Below are 21472 nucleotides of genomic sequence, written 5' to 3'. Positions count from 1 at the left end.
TAACAGTATATACAAAGAGTTTTGAAACATAATAAATTCTAAGAATTGAAAGTAGTTTTGGCTAAACAGGTAGACAGAATCCAGTTTGAATTTTATCCTTTAGGTGATGGGGCACAGGTTTTAAACACATAATAATCATATTTGCCTTATAAAACAATAAATTTGGAAGCACTGTATTCAATGGATTTGAAGAGGACAAATGATGGAACAAAGAGATGACACAGATATATTTTGATAGTTCACAAAAAAGATGCTTAAGCATTGAAATAATGTAACAGGAGAGGAAAGGGAAAAATATGTGCTATATAAGAAGTAGAATGAACAGGACTTGGGATAAGTCTTCGGTTTTTGACTTGGGTTACTGGGTTGTACCTATAAGAAAGTGTAGGAAATAAAATAATCAAGATTAGTGTAAGTAGGCATCTTGAGTTTAAGTTACATGTAGTTTAACTTGGCAGGAATGTCCATTTAACAGTTACATATTGGAGGGAAATTCAGAAGAGAGAATTACGGATGAGGGAAATTTTGGATATTAGTATATAGATGGATGTCAAATTCTCAAAGGTAAAGGGGGTACAAGGAACCTAGCAAACAGGAGGTCAAGAGTGAGCTAATCAAAAGCAATTTCTATAGGGTGGTATCATGACAACAGTAATGATAACAGTATTTGATATTTTTATATGTTTACATGTGCCAAGCACTTCCTAAGCACTTTATCTTCATTTCACAGATGAAGAAACTACGAAGTTTCTTATCCAAGGTCACACAACTTGTAAGTGGCAGAATTAGGATTTGAATACAGGCAGTCTAGTTCCAAAATCCATGCTTTGACCTACCATGCTAAGCAGCTGACAGGCTATGGTGAGATAAGGACTATTGAATGGGAGATGGGAAAGTAGGGGGAAAGCACAGATCATCCTGTTCAAGGTCATGGGTCTCCCTCACTCTACTTCCCAGATGAAAAAAGACTTGACTATGTATATACGCTGAAAGGAAGAAAGACAGTGAAGAGGTGAGGTTAAAAGTATAAAACAAGGCCAGGCGTGGTGGCTCATGCCTGTAATCCCAGCACTTTGGGAGGCCGAGACGGGCAGATCACCCTGTCTCTACTAAAAATACAAATATTAGCCGGGAGTGGTGGTGCACGCTTGTGGTCCCAGCTACTCGGGAGGCTAAAGCAGGAGAATCGCTTGAACCCGGGAGGCAGAGGTTGCAGTAAGCTGAGATTGCGCTACTGCACTCCAGCCTGGTGATACAGCGAGACTCCGTCTCAAAAAACCAAACAAAAAAGAAGAATAAAACAAAGAGTAAACAAGGGAACAGGTCTCAGGGATGGTAAGAGGGGTTCCAGGTATCATCATGATGACACATATATTTTTGGTATGTTATTATACAATGATACTACTGTAAGTATAAAAGGAAGCTAAATGTATGTTTCATTCTACTATTAATATTAAGGATTTCCTTATTTAAAAAAGTAACATTTTTGTCACAAATTTGTTTCATTTTAAAAATACTTATTAGAAGTCTTCTCCTGGCAAAGTATAGAAAACTGCACTTAGAAAAGCCCTAGAAATTATTCATAATGCCTCAATTACGTATCAAATATAGTAAATAACAGAAGCAGCATTATGTGGTATACACCAAATCCGGTATATAATTGAGGCATTAAGAATAAGCATTATATATTGCTCAAGATATTTTAGGTACTCCTCTTTTTAGAGCTGGCACATGTGTGAAAAAGCATCGACAGCTGGCACATGAAAAAATAAAAAAATCAGGTAGCAGGAAAAAAAAAAACCAGTTGGCATATAAAGGATTCCAATATGTTTTTATTGAGTGTGTGAACAATGTGTTTTTGCTGTGGCAAAACGGATTTCTGATACGGGAATTTCTGAGGTGAAAAAAATGTAGAAACTAGCATAAGCTATAATGTTTTAATTTGCATCCCTGGTAATTCTCTATTTTATGACCAAATGAACATATAAGTTATAATGGACAGTAATGTGCTCTAATAAATGAAATAAAAATGTGACTCAAATTTCACCCTCCTGATACAGCCTCACTTATGTCCCATAGACTCAAAGAAAGAACTTTGCTTCCATGACATTTTGCTGATCATGTTTTCTATTATATAACATATTATATCTTATTTATATGTCTACCTCATTCACTAAACATGAACTTCTAGAGGACAAGTACTGTCTTTTAAAACTGGGTATGCCAATGTCTAGAATAATGCATGGCACATAGTAGAGACTCAATGAATGCTTGTTGAGTCAGCTAAATAAATTAGCTACTAAAAACACGGAAAGAACAACCAGTACCAGCCACTGCAAAAACATACCAAATTGTAAAGACCATTGACACTATGAAAAAACAGCATCAACCAATGGGCAAAATAACCAGTTACTATCGTAATGACAGGAACAAATTCACACATAACAAATATTCACCTTAAATGTAAATGGGCTAAATGCCTCAATTAAAAGACACAGGCAAACTGGATAAAGAGTCAAGACCCATGAATGTGCTGTATTCAGGAGACCCATCTCATGTGCAAAGACACACATAGGCTCAAAATAAAAGGATGGAAGAATATTTACCAACCAAATGGAAAGCAAGAAAAAAAAGCAGGGGTTGCGTAATCTTTGATAAAACATACTTTAAACCAACAAGGATCAAAAGAGACAAAGAAGGGCATTACATACTGGTAAAGGATCAATGCATCAAGAAGAACTAACTATCCTAAATATATATGCACCCAACACAGGAGCACCCAGATTCATAAAGCAAGTTCTTAGAGACCTACAAAGAGACTTAGACTCTCACACAGTAATAGTGGAAGATTTTAACACCCCACTGTTAATATTAGACAGATCAATGAGAGAGAAAATTAACAAGGATATTCGGGACTTGAACTCAGCTCTGGACGAAGCAGACCTAATAGACATTTACAGAACTCTCCACCCCAAATCAACAAAACATACATTCTTCTTGGCACCTCACTGTACTTATTCTAAAATTGACCAAATAATAAGAAGTAAAATACTCCTCAGCAAATGCAAAAGAACGGAAATCATAACAAACAGTCTCTCAGACCACAGTAAAATCAAATTAGAACTCAGGATTAAGAAACTCACTCAAAACTGCACAACTACATGGAAACTGAACAACCTGCTCCTGAATGACTACTGGGTAAATAATGAAATGAAGGCAGAAATAAAGATGTTCTTTGAAACCAATGAGAACAAAGATACAACGTACCAGAATCTCTGGGACACATTCAAAGCAGTGTAGAGGGAAATTTATAGCACTAAATGCCCACAAGAGAAAGCAGGAAAGATCTAAAATTGACACCCTAACATCACAATTAAAAGAACTAGAGAAGCAAGAGCAAACAAATTCAAAAGATAGCAGAAGACAAGAGATAACTAAGATCAGAGCAGAACTGAAGGAGACAGAGACACGAAAAACCTTTCAAAAAAATCAATGAAATCTAGGAGCTAGTTTTTAGAAAAGATAAACAAAATAGACAGACTGCTAGCCAGACTAATAAAGAAGAAAAGAGAGAAGAATCAAAAAGACGCAATAAAAAATGATAAAGGGGTTATCACCACTGACCCCACAGAAATAAAAACTACCATCAGAGAATACTATAAACACCTAGAAAATCTGGAAGAAATGGATAAATTCCTGGACACATACACTCTCCCAAGACTAAACCAGGAAGAAGTCAAATCCCTGAATAGGCCCATAAAAAAGTCTGAAATTTCTTTGGGAGGCCAAGGCAGGCGGATCACGAGGTCAGGAGATCGAGACCATCCTGGCTAACTGGTGAAACCCCATCTCTACTAAAAAATACAATTATCCAGGTGTGGTGGCGGGCGCCTGGAGTCCCAGCTACTCGGGAGGCTGAGGCAGGAGAATGGCATGAACCTGGGAGGCAGAGCTTGCAGTGAGCTGAGATCACGCCACTGCACTCCAGCCTGGGCGACAGAGTGAGACTCCATCTCAAAAAAACAAAAAACAAACAAACAAACAAAAAAACAACTCCGAAATCAAGGCAGTAATTAATAGTCTACCTACCAAAAACATTCCAGGACCACATGTATTCATAGCCGAATTCTACCAGAGGTACAAAGAGCAGCTGAAACTATTCCAAACAATACAAAAGAGGGACTCCACCCTAACTCATTTTATGAGGCTGGCATCATCCTGATACCAAAACCTGGCAGAGACACAACAAAAAAAGAAAATTTCAGGCCAATATCCCTGATGAACATCGACGTGAAAATCCTCAAGAAAATACTGGCAAACCGAATCCAGCACCACATCAAAAAGCTTATCCACCATGATTAAGTCGGCTTCATCCCTGGGATGCAAGGCTGGTTCAACATATGCAAATCAATAAAAGTAATCCATCACGTAAACAGAACCAATGACAAAAACCACATGAATATCTCAATAGATGCAGAAAAGGCCTTCGACAAAATTCAACACCCTTTCATGCTAAAAACTCTCAATAAACTAGGTATTGATGGAATGCATCTCAAAATAATAAGAGCTATTTATGACAAACCCACAGCCAATATCATACTGAATGGGCAAAAACTGGAAGCATTCCTTTGAAAACTGGCACAAGACAGGGATGCCCTCTCTCACCACTCCTATTCAACATATTATTGGAAGTTCTGGCCAGGGCAACTAGGCAAGAGAAAGAAATAAAGGGTATTCAAACAGGAAAAGAGGAAGTCAAATTGTCTCTGTTGGCAGATGGCATGATTGTATATTTAGAAAACCCCATCGTCTCAGCCCTAAATCTCCTTAACCTGATAAGCAACTTCAGCAAAGTCTCAGGATACAAAATCAATGTGCAAAAATCACAAGCATTCCTATATACCAATAACAGATAAACAGAGAGCCAAATCATGAGTGCACTTCCATTCACAATTGCTACTAAGGGAATAAAATACCTACGAATACCACTTACAAGGGATGTGAAGGACCTCTTCAAGGAGAACTACAAACCACTGCTCAAGGAAATAAGAGAGGACACAAACAAATGGAAAAACATTCCATGCTCATGGATAGGAAGAATCAATACTGTGAAAATGGCCATGCTTCCCAAAGTGATTTACTTTCAATGCTATCCCCATCAAGCTACACTGACTTTCTTCACAGAATTGGAAAAAACTACTTTAAACTTCATATGGAACCAGAAAAGAGCCGGCATAGCCAAGACAATCCTAAGCAAAGAGAACAAAGCTGAAGGCATCATGTTACCTGACTTGAAACTATACTACAAGGCTACAGTAGCCAAAACAGCATGGTACTGGTACCAAAACAGATATATAGACCAATGCAACAGAACAGAGGCATCAGAAATAACACCACACATTTACATCAATCTGATCTTTGACAAACCTGACACAAACAAGCAACGGGGAAAGGATTCTCTATTTAATAAATGTTGTTGGGAAAACTGGCTAGCCACATGCAGAAAACAGAAACTGGACCCCTTCCTTACAACTTATACAAAAATCAATTCAAGATGGATTAAAGACTTAAATGTAAGACCTAAAACCACAAAAATCCTAGAAGAAAACCTAGGCAATACCATTCAGGACACAGGCATGAGCAAAGACTTCATGTCTAAAACACCAAAAGCAATGGCAACAAAAGTCAAAATTGACAAATGGGATCTAATTAAACTAAAAAGCTTCTGCACAGGAAAAGAAACTACCATGAGCGTGAACAGGCAACCTACAGAATGGGAGAAAATTTTTGCAATCTATCCATCTGACAAAGGGCTAATATCCAGAATCTACAAAGAACTTAAACAAATTTACAAGAAAAAAACAAACAACCCCATCAAAAAGTGGGCAAAGGATATGAACAGACACTACTCGAAGACACTTATGCAGCCAACAAACATATGAAAAAAAGCTCTTCATCACTGGTCATTAGAGAAATGCAAATCAAAATCACAATGAGATACCATCTCATATACCAGTTAGAATGGCGATCATTAGTCAGGAAACAACAGATGCTGGAAAGGATGTGGAGAAATAGGAATGCTTTTACACTGTTGGTGGGAGTGTAAATTAGTTCAACCACTGTGGAAGACAGTGTGGCAATTCCTCAAGGATCTAGAACTAGAAATACCATTTGACCCAGCAATCCCATTACTGGGTATATACCCAAAGGATTATAAATTATTTGATTAAAAAGACACATGCACACATACACTTACTGCGGCACTTTTCACAATAGCAAAGTCTTGGAACCAACCCAAATGTCCATCAATGACAGACTGCATAAAAAAAAGTGGCACATATACACCATGGTATATTATGCAGCCATAAAAAAGGATGAGTTCATGTCCTTTGCAGGGACATGGATGAAGCTGGAAACCATCATTCTCAGCAAACTATCACAACAGAAAATCAAACACTGCATGTTCTCACTCATAAGTGGGAGTTGAAAAATGAGAACACATGGACACAGGGAGGGGGACATCACACACCAGGGCTTGTTGGGGGTTGGGGGGCTAGAGAAGGGATAGCATTAGGATAAATACCTAATGAAGGTGACAGGTTGATGAGTACAGCAAACCACCTTGGCACGTGTATACCTTTGTAACAAAACTGCATTTTGCGCACATGTACCCCAGAACTTAAAGTATAATAATATGATAAAAAAGAAAAATTAAAAAAATAATTCCATTCACTAAATAAATAAATAAATACAAACAAGAAAACAAGTTTGGTTGCTTTTTATTAATAACTCCTTTGCCCCTTTCTCTTTCCAACTCTAGATGAATCTAGGCATCTGTTTTATGCACCATGCAACTGAACATTGTTGGAAAAAAATTTCAAGTGAATACATTTATACTATTCTGAATTGATGATCTCCAATATCAAATGAGACCTCAATACTGCTGAGCAATCTTCTTACCCTTTCATTCTTAGCTAATGATCTAGTCTTGTATTTTGGGGATAATGGAAGCCGTCAGAGAATCTAGACATTGCTTGCATCCGTAATCCCTTTCTTTCCTCCTATTGCAAACGAAGTCTCATTCCTCCATTCAAATGTATTGCAGGGCTTAGTTCTCGGACGTCTTTTTCATAGATACCCTCATTTAGAAACAACCATTTCCATGATTTTAACCACCACCTACGACACGCAGATTTTTATTTCCAGCTTAGGCCTCTGATCTACATTCCATACTAGAATATCCAACTGTCTATGATCTATCTGCTTGGATGTTTCACAGACATCACAAACTGAACATGCCTAAAATTAACTCATAATCTCCTCCCCACCCCAAATTTACTTCTCCTACTATGTTCTTCTTCCTACTACTCTGGAATTTCATTAAATGGTTACATCTATCATTATGATATATAAGCCAAAAACTAGAGAGACACTTGTGATTCCCTTCACCTTTCATTAATTTGAGTGCCTTCTACATGCCAGACACTATTCCAGGCAATGGGGCTACAACAGTGACTAAAACAAAATTCCAGCAGTCATGGGAGAGAGGGAGAGAGGGAGAGAGAGAGCACGGGGTGGGGACGCGGGGAGAGGGTGTCTGTGTTGGGAGTAGGGGAAGATACACAGACAAGCAAAAAACCCTAATAGAAATAAAACATGCCAGATGGTTATGAGTACTGTGTGGAATGTGGGGCAGTCATTATTTTTTACAGGGTGACTGAAGAAGCACCTCACTGATAGATAATAGCGACCTAATGGAAGTGAGAGTGCAAGAATATATATATTTAGAGGAAGAACATTACAGGTATAGGAAACTGCAAGTTCACAGACCCTAAGGCAGGCACGCTCTTGGCACATGTGAGGGTGAGGATGGAACAAGGTAAGCATGGAGGTAAGTGATAGGAAATAAGCTAGCATGGGGCCAGATCCTACAGGGCTTTGTACTTTTTTTTAAGGACTCTGGCTTTCATTGATCGTTGAGTGAAATGAGAAGGCATTTTGTGTTATTGCCTAAGTAATAGAAAATGCCTTAGGTTTGAAACGAATTGCTGGCTGTTCTTTTAAGAACAGATTGTGGAGGGTAAGGATAGAAGCAAAGAAACCAGCTAGCAGACAAATGGAATGAACCAGTTAAGAAGATAGTAGCCTGAAACCTTTAGTGCCTTTGTAACATTAAAATCTAAATTCTCCCTATATGATCTGGCTTTTGCCTACTCCTTCAAACTCATTTTGTCTCACTCCCCTTCATACATTATTCCACAAACTACACTTCTGATTCCTCAAACTTGCCCTTCTTAGTGGCTTTGCACATGTTTTTGGTCCTTCTAACTTCACCTGCCAAACTCATACATATTCTTTGGTCAAAGCTCATGTTACTTTTCGTAAATATGACACCCAGCTTAAAACAGGTGCTCTCCAAGTTCCTGTTAGCACTCTACTTTCTCTTTCATGATACTTATCATAATTCATGATTGATTTAATATTTGTCTCCCTCATTAGACTGTAAACTCCATGGGAAAAAACTGTTTTGTTCATCATGGCATAATTAGTGATTATGAGAGTGAGAGTCACCTAATAGACCTTCAATAAATATTTGCTGAGTAAATGACTTCATCAGTCATTCATTACTTATGAATTACTTGAAAAAAATTACCCAGCTTGATAATCTACAATATTCTGAAAATAGTGCTCTGAATAACTTCTGGCTTTCAAAAATCAACTTTGTCATTGAAGGATGAAAAATATCCACCAGTGATACTCAGAAGAATAAAAGCAATTCCAAAAGGAGTACTTGAATAGTTTTTAACATTCTGAACATTGAATGAGTAAGTGTGTATATCACCTCCTAGGGAAACTGTTTTAAATGGCACAACATTAATGCTACTTAATGAGAGCATCTTGTATTATGGGGGCCAATCATTTGAACTAAACATAAAAACATTTTTAATAATTGTACAACATGTGAATATACTTAATGTTACTATACACTTAAAATGGTTAAACTGGCAAATTGTTATATTTTACCACAAAAAACAAAACATAAGCATTTCTTATAGGTTGATTGGCATAATTTCAAAAAAATACATTATCTCAAAATGTACTGAATAACAACTCATAATAACTTGTCTTAGTGACTGGAAATCAAACTTTCCTTGCTTCAATTTCCTCATTAGTGGAATAGAGATTCTTATGCCCTAACTCACAGACCTCTGTGAAGAGAAAATTAAGTGAAAAACAATATAAAAAAATAACCTGCATTATGCAAAGAAGGGTACCACTCTTAACAGAGGCTGCAGGTTCAATACAGGGCTGTTAATGTTTTAATATGGGTTTATATGAGAACTAGTAATTGATTTAGATATTACTATTAATCGAACAATGGTTTAAGTAACCAACTCACTGACCCTCTCCCCTGCCCAGAATAGTTTATAAATCATTGTAAAGAAGTAAATGGTAAACTTTTAGAAAACATTTTGACATCAAAAAAATGAGCTGCTTGATTTTAAGTAAGAGAAGTAAATCTGAAATAGGTTTTTCTTTCCTTTTATTTTCTTGGAGGGAGGGAGCAAATCTGTAGTTCCCATTACAGACTACAGATTGACATTTCTTTTGTTTTGCTTTTAATTACAAAAAAAATCCTTGAAATAATTATAATAATTGATACAAGATACTTCAGCCTAATTACATTAATAACTTCTGTTATAAGATGTAGTCACTACAATACTATCTAATAAGTATATTATTAAATTGGTGTTGGCCTTTCCTAGCCAGGATAGTAAAACCACTTTGTATTTTAGAATTAGATGTAATAATTTACAACTCTTTAAAAGAACCTCTCTATTTCTCTAAGATCTCTATTATGTCATTTTCCTACTACAGAATTAGGGACAGATAAACACATAAAAACTTAATTCAGAAAGAGGCACTAATCTTAGGGAATTTTGCTTATTCACTGAGAAGAATGTGAACAGCGACAAATCAAATCTCATGTCTCCATCTGAGATTAAGAAAGGCATGTTTTCATAACAAATCATTATTAGCCAAGTTACACAAGTGCAAGGCATTCTTTTAGAGATACCATTTTTCCCCTAGTTGTGAACACTAAATTTTTACAGAACTATCCCATATATACTCTTTCTTAAAATAATCTGTCTGAGAACGTAGGTTCTTCTTTCCCACCTCTGTTCTCTTTCAAAAAGGAAGGGCTATTCTAGTCCAAAGGGAAAAGTAAAAACATTGGTATTCATGTTGAGAAAAATGAATGGTTCTAATGCAAGTAAGGTTGTTTACATTTTTTTTTTTTGCTTTTATCAAAATGGATAGATGACCTGACTGAGTTGTCATTTGACAGAGGATTGAATATATTTTTGATGACAATTTGCTATGTAATTTCTGGCACATAACATGAAAGGAACTCACATAATTGAGTTTAACATCCTGGATTAGGATGAAAACCTGACCTAGAAAGTAGTAGTTTTAAATTTTTCATTAGCCACGTTCTCAGTTTATCAGAACAAATATAAGATCCTAAACTATTTTTTAAAAAGTGTTTTGTGTCTCAGAAGTGAGGTTTTTCCTTTTACGATGAAAAGTATATTCATTTAAATATAAGGTTGGTAATTTAAATAAAACTAGAAGGTTTAGTGTTAAACTGGACTTCTAAGAAACTGAGTTCCAATAAATGCAAAAAGAAAGTCTCAAGGTAAGAGTAGGCTAGTTGAAGTAATGTAACATAGAAATAACAGCTTCAGAAATAACTTTTTCTCTGTTTTACAATGTAATGAAGATCTATCTAGTTTCTTAAAAATGTTATTTCTGTGTAGTATTACTTATTCTCTTAAATTAAATCTTTAAAAAAGTTTAAACTTTCTATTTAACATTCTTCTAAATTTTTGAAATTAAGTTTTTTCCTAATAAACAGATCATAGAAAAAAAAGCTGACCTTAAAAATGCTTGAAATCCCAATTTATTTTATATATTATGACAGGAATAATGAATAAGTCTTTGATTAGTATCATTTTTTTCAATGACTTCCTAGAATCTATCTAAGGAGCTCTATTATGTCCAAGTAAATATTTTGAAAATAACCATCTTATGCCATGCTGCTTTCCAATGGAAAAGACCACATTACTCCCCTGCTTCAAATCCATCTGAGGAGATGCTTCATCCAGGAAACTAACCATGAGCCTCCTAGGTAGGCCTTGACAATGAAAAAGACAAGGGTTGAAGTGCTCTTGAATCTACTGAACTAATGCTAATTAAAATTATCACCAATAATGCAAAATTTAAAAACTGGGCATTCTCTAGATGGAGTAACAGATTTAGGGAACTAGAAAACTATCTTATTATATTATTTGAACCAATGGGACATGGTGGTATATGCCTATAATCATAACTACTCAGGAGGCAGGGGCTAGGGGTAACCAAACTCAACAATTTTGAATTTCCTAGTGCCCTACAGATAGAATATTCATAAACAATTCTATGCTATTATATCCCTTCCTTATCAGCTTGCCTAGGAAGAGTTAAATTAGCATAGTTCAGAAATTAAAGGGTTGATAAATACCATTCCTACAATAACACTATATGAAAAATAAAAGTACACTCAATTATTTCTTCTTAGTCCACTAAGGTCCACGTGGAAAAAGACTCAAGAAAAGAGGACAGATAGAACGGTTATGGAGAACAGAATCTTTCCAGAGTCATTCTGCTTAACTTGTTGAATTTTAAAAAAAGATGAGATAATTTCTACATAATATGTATTCAGTATTTATAATGTGCCAGTCAGCATCCTACGAGTTAAAACCATCAACTCACGTAACCCTTACAAAACTCCTAAGATAGGGTACTATTATTTTCTTGTCAGACGATGAGAAAAATGAATTGTGGAATTAACTTGTCTAGGGAAATACAGTTATTATAATAAGCAGGAAGGCCATGTTTTTAATCCAAGTAGTGTAACTCCATAAACTGTGATCTTAATCTGTATTATTAGTTTTTTATGTGTTTCTTTTTTTTTTTTTTTTTCAAGCCAGACTTTGGCTTTCAAACTGTTCCTCAGAGTCCTGGGATCCATGAGAAAGCTTCTGGGGCCATTGTGGAAAGTAAAGGAAAGCAGATGGGGTTCTGGGAACTTCACCCAACCAAAGCAATTTTACCATATCTACTTAAATATTGGGGATACAATTAAACTTTCCACGGTAACTTAAAAAAAAGTTTTGATGCTAAAATACAAAGAGTTTGAAAATCACAATATCTAGGCTATAATCTTCATAAGGTCAGGATATACAGTTGTTCTTGGTATCCACAGGGGATTGGTCACAGGAGCCCCCTCTCCACCTTGGGGATACCAAAATCCACAGATGCTCAAGTTCTTGATATAAAATGGTGTTGTTATTTGTATATAACCTACATATATCTTCACATATACTTTAAATCATCTCTAGATTTGTTATAATACTTAATAAAATGTAAATGCTATGTTAATTGTTATACTGCATTGTTTTAAAATTCACATTATTTTAAATTGTCATTTATTTATTTATTTTTGAGATGGAGTTTTGCTCTTGTCACCCAGGCTGGAGTGTAATGGTGTAATCTTGGCTCACTGCAACCTCTGCCTCCCGGGTTCAAGCGATTCTCCTGCCTTAGCCTCCCGAGTAGCTTGGATTACAGGTGTCCACCATCATGCCCGGCTAATTTTTGTATTTTTTAGTAGAGATGAGCTTTCATCATGTTGGCCAGGCTGGTCTCAAACTCCTGACTTCAGGTGATCCACTCGCCTTGGCCTCCCAAAGTGCTGGGATTACAGGCATGAGTCACCATGCCTGGACAAACTGTTGTATTGTTATTTTTTACTGTGCTATATGGCAGTACCATATTCACCAAACAAGGTTAATACTCATACCATTACATCAGAAAATCTTAAGTACCAATATCATTAAATTAAATAATAACAGTAATAATGTTAAATCACACTCAGATTGGTGCTGCTTAGTTTTTAATCATGTGTGGTCAAAAGATTTCACTATCTCAAGGCTACTGATGGGCTAAGTATAACCCACGCTTACATTAAAAAAGTATACTTTTTACACTCTTTTTTTTTTAACATATGTTAATACTATACCACCTGATGTGCTGAAATGATCACTTAAATTTGGAGGACACTGAATTAATTTAAGAGGTTACATTAAAATTCAAATTGTCAGTAGAGATAATATTTGATAATATTTTCTAAAATTCATGAACGTCTTCAATTTCAAAGAAGTTACAAGGAAACTTGAAAAAAGCATACTGAAGAAATAGTATCTGACAAAACCTAAAGAATCTATTCTATTAGTTATCTATTACCCTTTTTATTTTTGGATCTATGAACTACATGAATTTTTGTGAAATAGAGGAGTAAAGGCTACTGCCACCATTTTGTACTCCCTCTTACAGTCAATTTTCAGCTCGAGAGCTGACATCTTAATCAATTAAAAATCATGGAAGTTTTAAGAAAATAAAACTAAAGGCCTAGCTTTTCTAATTCCAGATGTGAACTAAAAGCTAAAGCCGCACAAGTAAAAACTCATTTTTCTCTTCTCCAAATTGTTTGAAGAATTTTATTTTAGAGACAATATAGTTTCCAACTAAATAAAGCTATAATGATGAAATAATATCCACTGCTTAAAATACTCACTGCTAAAATTTTTGTCAAAAAATTTTATGGCTATTACCATAAAATTATAAACCATCACGCTCACGGCTGTGTCTCAGATGAAATGGAATACGTGATGGTAAAATATATTAGGAGTGTCTGCAATAGAGCTATCAATTTATTCTAATAAAATAGTTTTGAATAGAAGCAAAAATGAATAAACTGAAGATCCTCACACCTTAAACATAACATGCAAGAAAGCTAAACGATGCCAAATCTAGCTTAACCTAGCTGGTTAAAAGATTCAATTTGAATACCTATTTCTGAGAAATTGCAGTTAACCATATGCAGACAATACTAAACAGATGTATCAAAGGCACAGAAAACTAGGATGCAGTATTGCTTTAGAAGGAATTTAGTCTGAATGCTGGCCCAAGCCTCCCATGAATGATTAGCATCAACACAAACTCTTGTGCTCTCCTGACAGATTCAAATTTTGAATCCCTATGTTGTTGAAATATTTTATTAATATTTATGAAAAAGCACCAAGATTGGTTTTCTAAACTAGGAAAAAAAACTCTAGCTGATATCAAGCATCTGGAACCAAAGTAATTTTGGCAGTTCAAGGATAAAGAGGTACATAAAAATTAATATAACTTGGTGATCTGAGAACAGGGTTTTCTAGTACTGGTATAAACACAATTTACATAAAACATGTTCCAGAGATGGTCCAACAGATATTATAATTTGTCTGTCCCATTCCTATCTCTGAAAGCTAAGCACCCATGTACTTTACTTTGTTATTTAACTATTAGGATAATAATACATTTTGGCTTTCTTCCTCATCTAGAAAAATAAAGATAAAAATTTAAATTGTCTCTATGTCTAACTAGTGCTAGAATTCTTGAAAAACTATTTTGAATAAAGTAATTCACACTATACTATGAGCAGGATTACTCATTTGAAGATTTAAAGGAAGAGTTTATTAACCTATATATTAACCTATCTGCTTAGGCAGATAGGCCACTTCCCAAGTGGTTCAACTCTAAAGCAAAATACCAGAAATCGATTATGCCTTCCCTATTCAATTTCTAAAAGGATGCTAACTCCTGGCCTATAGTGTATGACAGATTCTAATTTCCAAGAATGCTATAAAGGCAATGGTTAATTTAGGAAACAGCTGTATGAATGATGATGTACAAAAAGATTCACTTAGAATACTGAATGGTGAAGAGTCATCCTTTTCTCAGATAGTGAGAAAGATGTCTAATAATGTCCTTATCAATCTATACCCTGCATTTAATCTATATCTTTTGAGGCTGCCTCCTGGGCATAGGAGATTCAACAAAAAAATAAGAATAGAGAACAGAAAAGTTTAGATTTAAAACTAAAAATCCAGAATTCACAAGAGACTGACGAAAAAAAGGTTAAAATTCAAATATCAAAAATGGTTTGCCATTATTCTGAGCTTTTATAAACACAGAAATTTTATCTGTAAAAGGGGAATAAAATAACCAGCCCTAAGTTTATACACAGTAACAGTGATATTAAAAAATATATCTCTCTCATTACTTCAGAATCAATCAAAGACATAAATATTTAACAAGTTGAGGATATAGACTAGAGCAGAAAGAAAAGAAAAAGGGGGTGGGGGCAGGGGAAAAGTAGTTATCTCTTATATCCCCAAATTAAAAGACCTTTAAGGGAAAGTGATTTGTTAAAGTATGTATACAAAAAGAAGTTCCCAAGATTTTCCTTTTTAAAATTTTAATTTCCCATTAAGACAAAAAAAAAAAAAAAAGAAAAAAAAAGTGCAACAGACTTCTACTGAATAATGGAGGGAACTCATTAGTTTTGCTTTTTTTTCCCTCCCTTTTTAGACAGCTTAAGTTTTCTGTCTGATATTATATTTTTGCAAAGTGATATATAATCTTGTACATTATGTTAATCAATCACAGGTCACCTAATTGAGAAACATATATTCCACTACCAGTAGTAGAATGAATAAGTCAAATATGTATGCTTAAATCTTCCATGAAAAATGAACTTTCAAAACATATACTCATGTTCTGGCATGAAAAACCCAACTTTATCTTCTTGTATTACAGATTTCCATGAAACATGAGTTTCATTTTGTTTACAAAGACCTACCTGAATAGCTGAGTTCATGAAACACGTATTTCCCAAGTTACTTAGGCCACAGAGGCCTGGCTGTTCATTGTTTCTTCCAGGTTCCGAATAATCATAGTTCTTATAAGCGGTATATGATGGAAGACAGTAATTTGAGTTTTTCACACTGGAAGAAAAAAAATTTTCATAATGCAGCCAATTATATTACAACATATTTATAATAAAGAGTACTTTAGGCCTATTTATGAGATATGTGGTTGATCATTACATTTCTTTTATAAAGTACTCAACTCAGATACTTTTTTAAAGACTTGAACCTCAAAAAAATAACTCACCCTGAATTAAGATACTCCTTATCCAATCAACAAAATAACTCTCATATACCACACCAACCAATACAAAGCACTATTATATCTTCCTACCTTTGATTAACTAGAGCAGCTTTACAGTTTGCTCCATTCCCCATTGCTCCATCAAATTTAAAACATTCAGATTTTAAATACCACCCGCAGCAACAAATCATCTCCTTTATGACCCTTTGCATTCTGTTATTGTAATAGAGTAAAAATGGTAGAAACAGTAAGAGTTATGCTTTAAAAAGTTACAGGTAAGAGCAGAGATTTCCAAGGCCACTGTGACCTCACTGTTATGATGCACTGAAGATTCCATTTATAGTTTCTATGCGAGACCAGCAAAAACTAGTATTCAAATGCAGAAAAAAGCCTGGGTGAACAGGAATGCAAAAATGATTCCACGCAAGTATATCCCAGTGTTATTTGCCTTTTCTTTCTTTTGGTTTCTCAGAACAATGTAGTTTATTTAATCAGATAAATATAACCTCAAGATATTTTAAATGTTAATATTAAAAAACTGTAATATTCTAAAAGTTACAAAATCAGTATAATTTTTAGAAAGAAGAAAATAAGTTAAACGATCCCTCTTCCTTTGGCATATAATAAAAAATAATTTTGTGAAAAAGAATGGATTCTTTCTTATTTTTTAATAGGTTATCTTATAAAATATGTATGATGAATATTTTGGATATAATTCAAAAGCATGCTTTCAATCTGTTTTTATTAATTAGAAAAAACCTGAATGAGATCTTTCCTAAAAGCAAATGATGCTATAAATAGAACAGCTTTATAAATGAGCATGATAAATCAGTATCTCTAGCAATTCACAACTGGCTATAATTTATTCCTGGTATTACTTTTTTAAAGTAGTTTTTTCTTATAATTTTAAATACTTCACTTTATTATTCCATATAGGACGCTCTCACTTTATTATTATAAAAGTTTATGTGAACTATACTACCTGTTCTAAGAAAGTCTTTAGTAAACACACATACACACACACACACGCACACACACACACACCACCCCCAGAGAAAACACACAAAACCAAACCAACCTAAAATTACACATACAATGTTGGCCTACTAATGTTTTTGCATTTTTTAAAAAACACTCCTTTCTTCTACAAACAAAAGAGGTCAACTCCTCAACTCTGAAAAAATAATCCACCCTGAGATAAAAACAGCAGGCGCCAAAGAAATGTAACATTAATCAATTCAAATTCGGAATTGCTAGACTTATAGCTATTTACTTGACTTAAACTAAAACAAAACACAAAAAATATAATTCATGCATCTTTCTTTGGCAAATCATTAGCCCATGATTCACATTTTATTTCATATTCCTAGTAACTAATAAAGTACAAAGCGCCTATTAGCAATTTTAAGTATTTTCGCTCATAATTGGATTATTGAATCTAACTTTGGGTACACACAACAAAAAGCTGAAGTACAAAAAAAATCCTGTTTTTCTTTTATAAGTTTAAGTAGTGCTAAAAATGAAGATCTGCTGTATATTATTTTAAAAAAAGCAAGGCTTTCATTTTCTACACATTCTACACATTACAGAGAAGAAAAAACTTCTGGCTGTAAAATCATAGTAAAATTTAAGCAGCCAGAGCACACAGGAAAGTATGCCCAAATGCATGGTCATGCCTATACACACACACACACGTGAAAAGACTAAAAGCACATTTACATGCTCATTCCATAAGTATATATTCAGATATCCTGTCTCTCCCCACGTGTAACACAAAGGGATGCTGGAAGCTCTACTCTTCTTTGCAGCAACATGATGGAATTTGATGGGATAGAAATTGCTATTTACTGAGAACTGAACAAAAAACTTACTTGCAAAGCAGTTTTTTGGTTTTGTTTTTAAAAAAATCTAAATCCCTAAATAATATCTACAACTTTGCTCAAAGATTGAGATAGTCTAGATGCTCAAAATGATAATGAAAATCAATCAATTTAAGATACTTTAATATCTTGATCGGTCACTTATAATCCACATATTATGTGTGCTCTAAATGAAATATTAAGGCTTGTCATGGAAAATATCAAAACTAGCAGTTTATATAATTCAAAAAATATATGAAAATCTGGGCCCTAAAGATAGCCTCTAGTACCTTTCATGACTATGTCTACTAATTATTTCCTAAAGATCTTAAGCTAGTCATCATCTTTTAAGGCTATGCTACTTTGCAAAAATAAATTTACAGTAATAGTAATGGGAATTGTAATATTATATTAGATTAATTCTGTATTATATCCTTCTTTAATAAAAATACACTAAAAATACACTTTTTTTTTGTGAAATTGAACCTTACCTTTCCATAAAAGATGTCAGATTGACTTTTAAACTAGCACTGACACCTGACTTTATAAATATATAATTTAATCCTCAAAACTATAATTATGCCCATTTTTCAGTTAATGAAATGATGCTTTTAGCTAACAAATTTATCAAGAGCCAGATGGCTAGCTCTGGTAGTTTCCAAAATTCACAGTTCCTGTTGAGGCTCAATCTCATACAGGGAGTCATTTTCATTTCAAAGAAAAAGATATAAATGAATTAACAGAAAAATAAAAAAGTGTTCTGCATTTGGAATGTCAAATTGAGACAATAAACACGTTAAAAATATTTTTAAAAGGCAGTATTAGTAATATACCAAAGCAAATATAGCAGGGCAGAAAAATACAGGTTATAGAACTATTACCAGAAAGACAATCTGACAGATATTTAAAAATGTACTTAAATTATAACTGAGGCAAAACCAAATACACAAGGGACTAATAGGTAAAATTATGACACAAGGTAAACAAACTATATTACAGTAATGGATTTTTCATAATACTGGTTTTTAATAAAAACTTATTAAACTTAAATGAAATAATTCCAAGTATACTTTATTACTTGGAATTATTTTATAACAATATTCTTATTTCTGGAAATAAAAATTTTATATCTTAGAAATGTATCAGTGTAGGGTTAAATCTTGAATTTATAAATAAATTTCATAAACTATTGATTTTAATATATTACTTATACTTGTAGACTATTTCCACATACATAAGGTTTCAAAAACATACTTAATCCAAAAAGGTCATTACCTATTTTACATATTTTTAAAGAAACTATGCTATTTCTATCTGAAGTCTTCCCACAAGCTGAATGGAAATTCAAGAAATAAATTGTATGTAAAACAGTTGTTTAAATACGATAGAATTCAAGTTTTTTAAAGTTAAAAAAAAAAAACTTTCCATTTTACGAATGCTTAAGTTCTGTTCCTTACTAAGAAAGATAATCCTTACATAAAAATGTATTTTTAAGCTCAAAATGGTTCACAGCTTCATGGTACCTCAGTGACTATTCGCTATTAAAATTCCATAATATGACAGGGCTATTTTAGTGTTTGAATTAAAAAAATATAAATAGCTAAAAATATAATGTAGTCATATGATAGAATCATTCAAACTTAAGACTCTAATTTCTCTCAATAGTTTCTGCAGTCAGAGGTTTTGAGATTAGATTATACTGTCACGTATTTACTAAGAATGCAAACAGAACAAAACCAGAAACACACCAGACCACTCATACCAATATGGTAATTCTGGTCAAAATATAGTCTACATTCAACATAGTCTATATACAATGTTAAAAATCTCTCCAAAGAATGACTGTAAATACCTGTAAATGAATTCTCTTACAGTAAGTATGAGAGCCATCTGCAATGAGTAAATCATAAGTAATATTTTATCTAGTATGAAAAAATGACTTTTGGTAAGTTTACTTAAAGCTCTCATGTAATACAAACCAAATTACGAGGGGTTATTTTCACTCTTTTTTTTTGGCCTGTGCACATACATTTTTAAATAGAAGAGAAGATACTGCAGTGTAATTCTGAATATTCAGTGTCTTCAGTATTTTAGTATTACACTATGTTGTAATATTATTACACATAGTGCACATATCTTTTTATGAATTACTGAAATAAGAATGTAAATGTTTTAAATGTTCTTGATTCATATTGGTAAACAATTTTGCTAGAAAAAATTATTCTAGTACTCCAAACACTCAGAATCATTATAAAAATACATGTCATTGTTTAATTTTTCCCAATGTGACTGAGGTAAGGGAAAGCAAATGGGGTTTTTCATGGTTTTAATTTACATATCTCTAATCAGTAGTGAATGTGAAAATGTAAAATATTTATCCCAGCTGGGCAAGGTGGCTCATGCCTGCAATCTCAGCACTTGGGAGGCTGAGGCAGGAGGATTGCTTGAGCCCAGGAGTTCGAAACCAGCATGGGCAACATAGTGGGACTGTCTCTATGAAAATAATAAAAAGAAAATTAGCAGGGTGTAGTGGCGTGTGCTGTAATCCAAGTACTCAAGAGGCTAAGGTGGGAGGATCACTTGAGCCTGGGAGGTCATGGGTGCAGGGAGCTGTGATTGTGACACTGTACTTCAACCTGGGTGACAGGGTGAGATCCTACCTCAAAAAAAGTTTGTCCCTTATTTAATTCCTTTACTTGTATTGCCCAGTGTTTCTAAGACTGTCTTAGAAAATTTCTGATTTTTATGAGCTTGATATATTTAGAATATAAATCCTTTATCATTTGTAACAAGTTCTTTTTTCCATTTATTTTTCCTTTTTAAATATGCTTAACAATTATCTTGGATTTAAAATTCCAGAGAAGAATTCTCAGATATGAGCCAATTTTCTCAACCATATTTCCTGGATAATCTGCCCATTCGTATTAGTCTACAATGCCTCCTGATCATATTAAATTCTTTTTATACAAAGATCTGTTTCTGAGCTGTTAGAAAATAAATTTAACTATTGGTGTTTTAATTATTGGTGTTTTAATTTAATTATTGGTGTTTTAATTTTAAAGATTATTTCACAAATAGCTTTAGTCTTTTAGAATTTACTCACTGAGATAATCAGATGCCATTTAGAAACTGAAAAAAATCTAAATACTAAAATTTTTGATTAGTATAATAGTAATACATAATTAGTATAAGTATTAGATAAATATCTAATACTAATATGTTAGTGCAAATATCTAAATACTTTCAATCTAATCCATAAAAGGCACTATACATGTCAAAAAAAAATAAAAGGATAATCATCTCTAGATCAATGTTCTTCCCACAATTTGGGCTAATTACAAATAATAAAGGTTTTCTTTTTTCCTTTTTGAATTAAAAAAACATGTCAATGTTCAAGGTAATACACTAAGAGTCAATACAAGATAATACACTCAGAGTGAAGCTGTGTAACCTTGACTTTCAACTGTTTTTCTTATAGCAATATAACACACACTTCAATAAAATTTTTATAA

The 21472-nt window shown here is 33.7% G+C and overlaps 1 protein-coding gene across 13 annotated transcripts in view; it reads right to left on the bottom strand.

Annotated features, from left to right (window-relative positions):
- USP15 (ubiquitin specific peptidase 15) overlaps nucleotides 1–21472 on the bottom strand; it is a 155986-nt gene that overhangs the window by 45124 nt on the left and 89390 nt on the right. For all 13 annotated transcript variants that reach the window (NR_147078.2, NR_147079.2, NR_147082.2 and 10 more), the window contains one exon: nucleotides 15791–15935. Coding sequence is in view for 4 of the 13 variants with exons in the window: in NM_001351159.2 (NP_001338088.1) it covers nucleotides 15791–15935 (145 nt within the window). In the remaining 9 variants the exon portion in view is untranslated. The remainder of the gene's footprint in view (nucleotides 1–15790; nucleotides 15936–21472) is intronic.

Source organism: Homo sapiens, chromosome 12, assembly GCF_000001405.40.
Source record: "Homo sapiens chromosome 12, GRCh38.p14 Primary Assembly".
In the NCBI taxonomy this organism is placed as follows: domain Eukaryota; kingdom Metazoa; phylum Chordata; class Mammalia; order Primates; family Hominidae; genus Homo; species Homo sapiens.
Note: the sequence above shows the minus strand (reverse complement) of the source record. Positions and strands in the feature narration are given on the sequence as shown.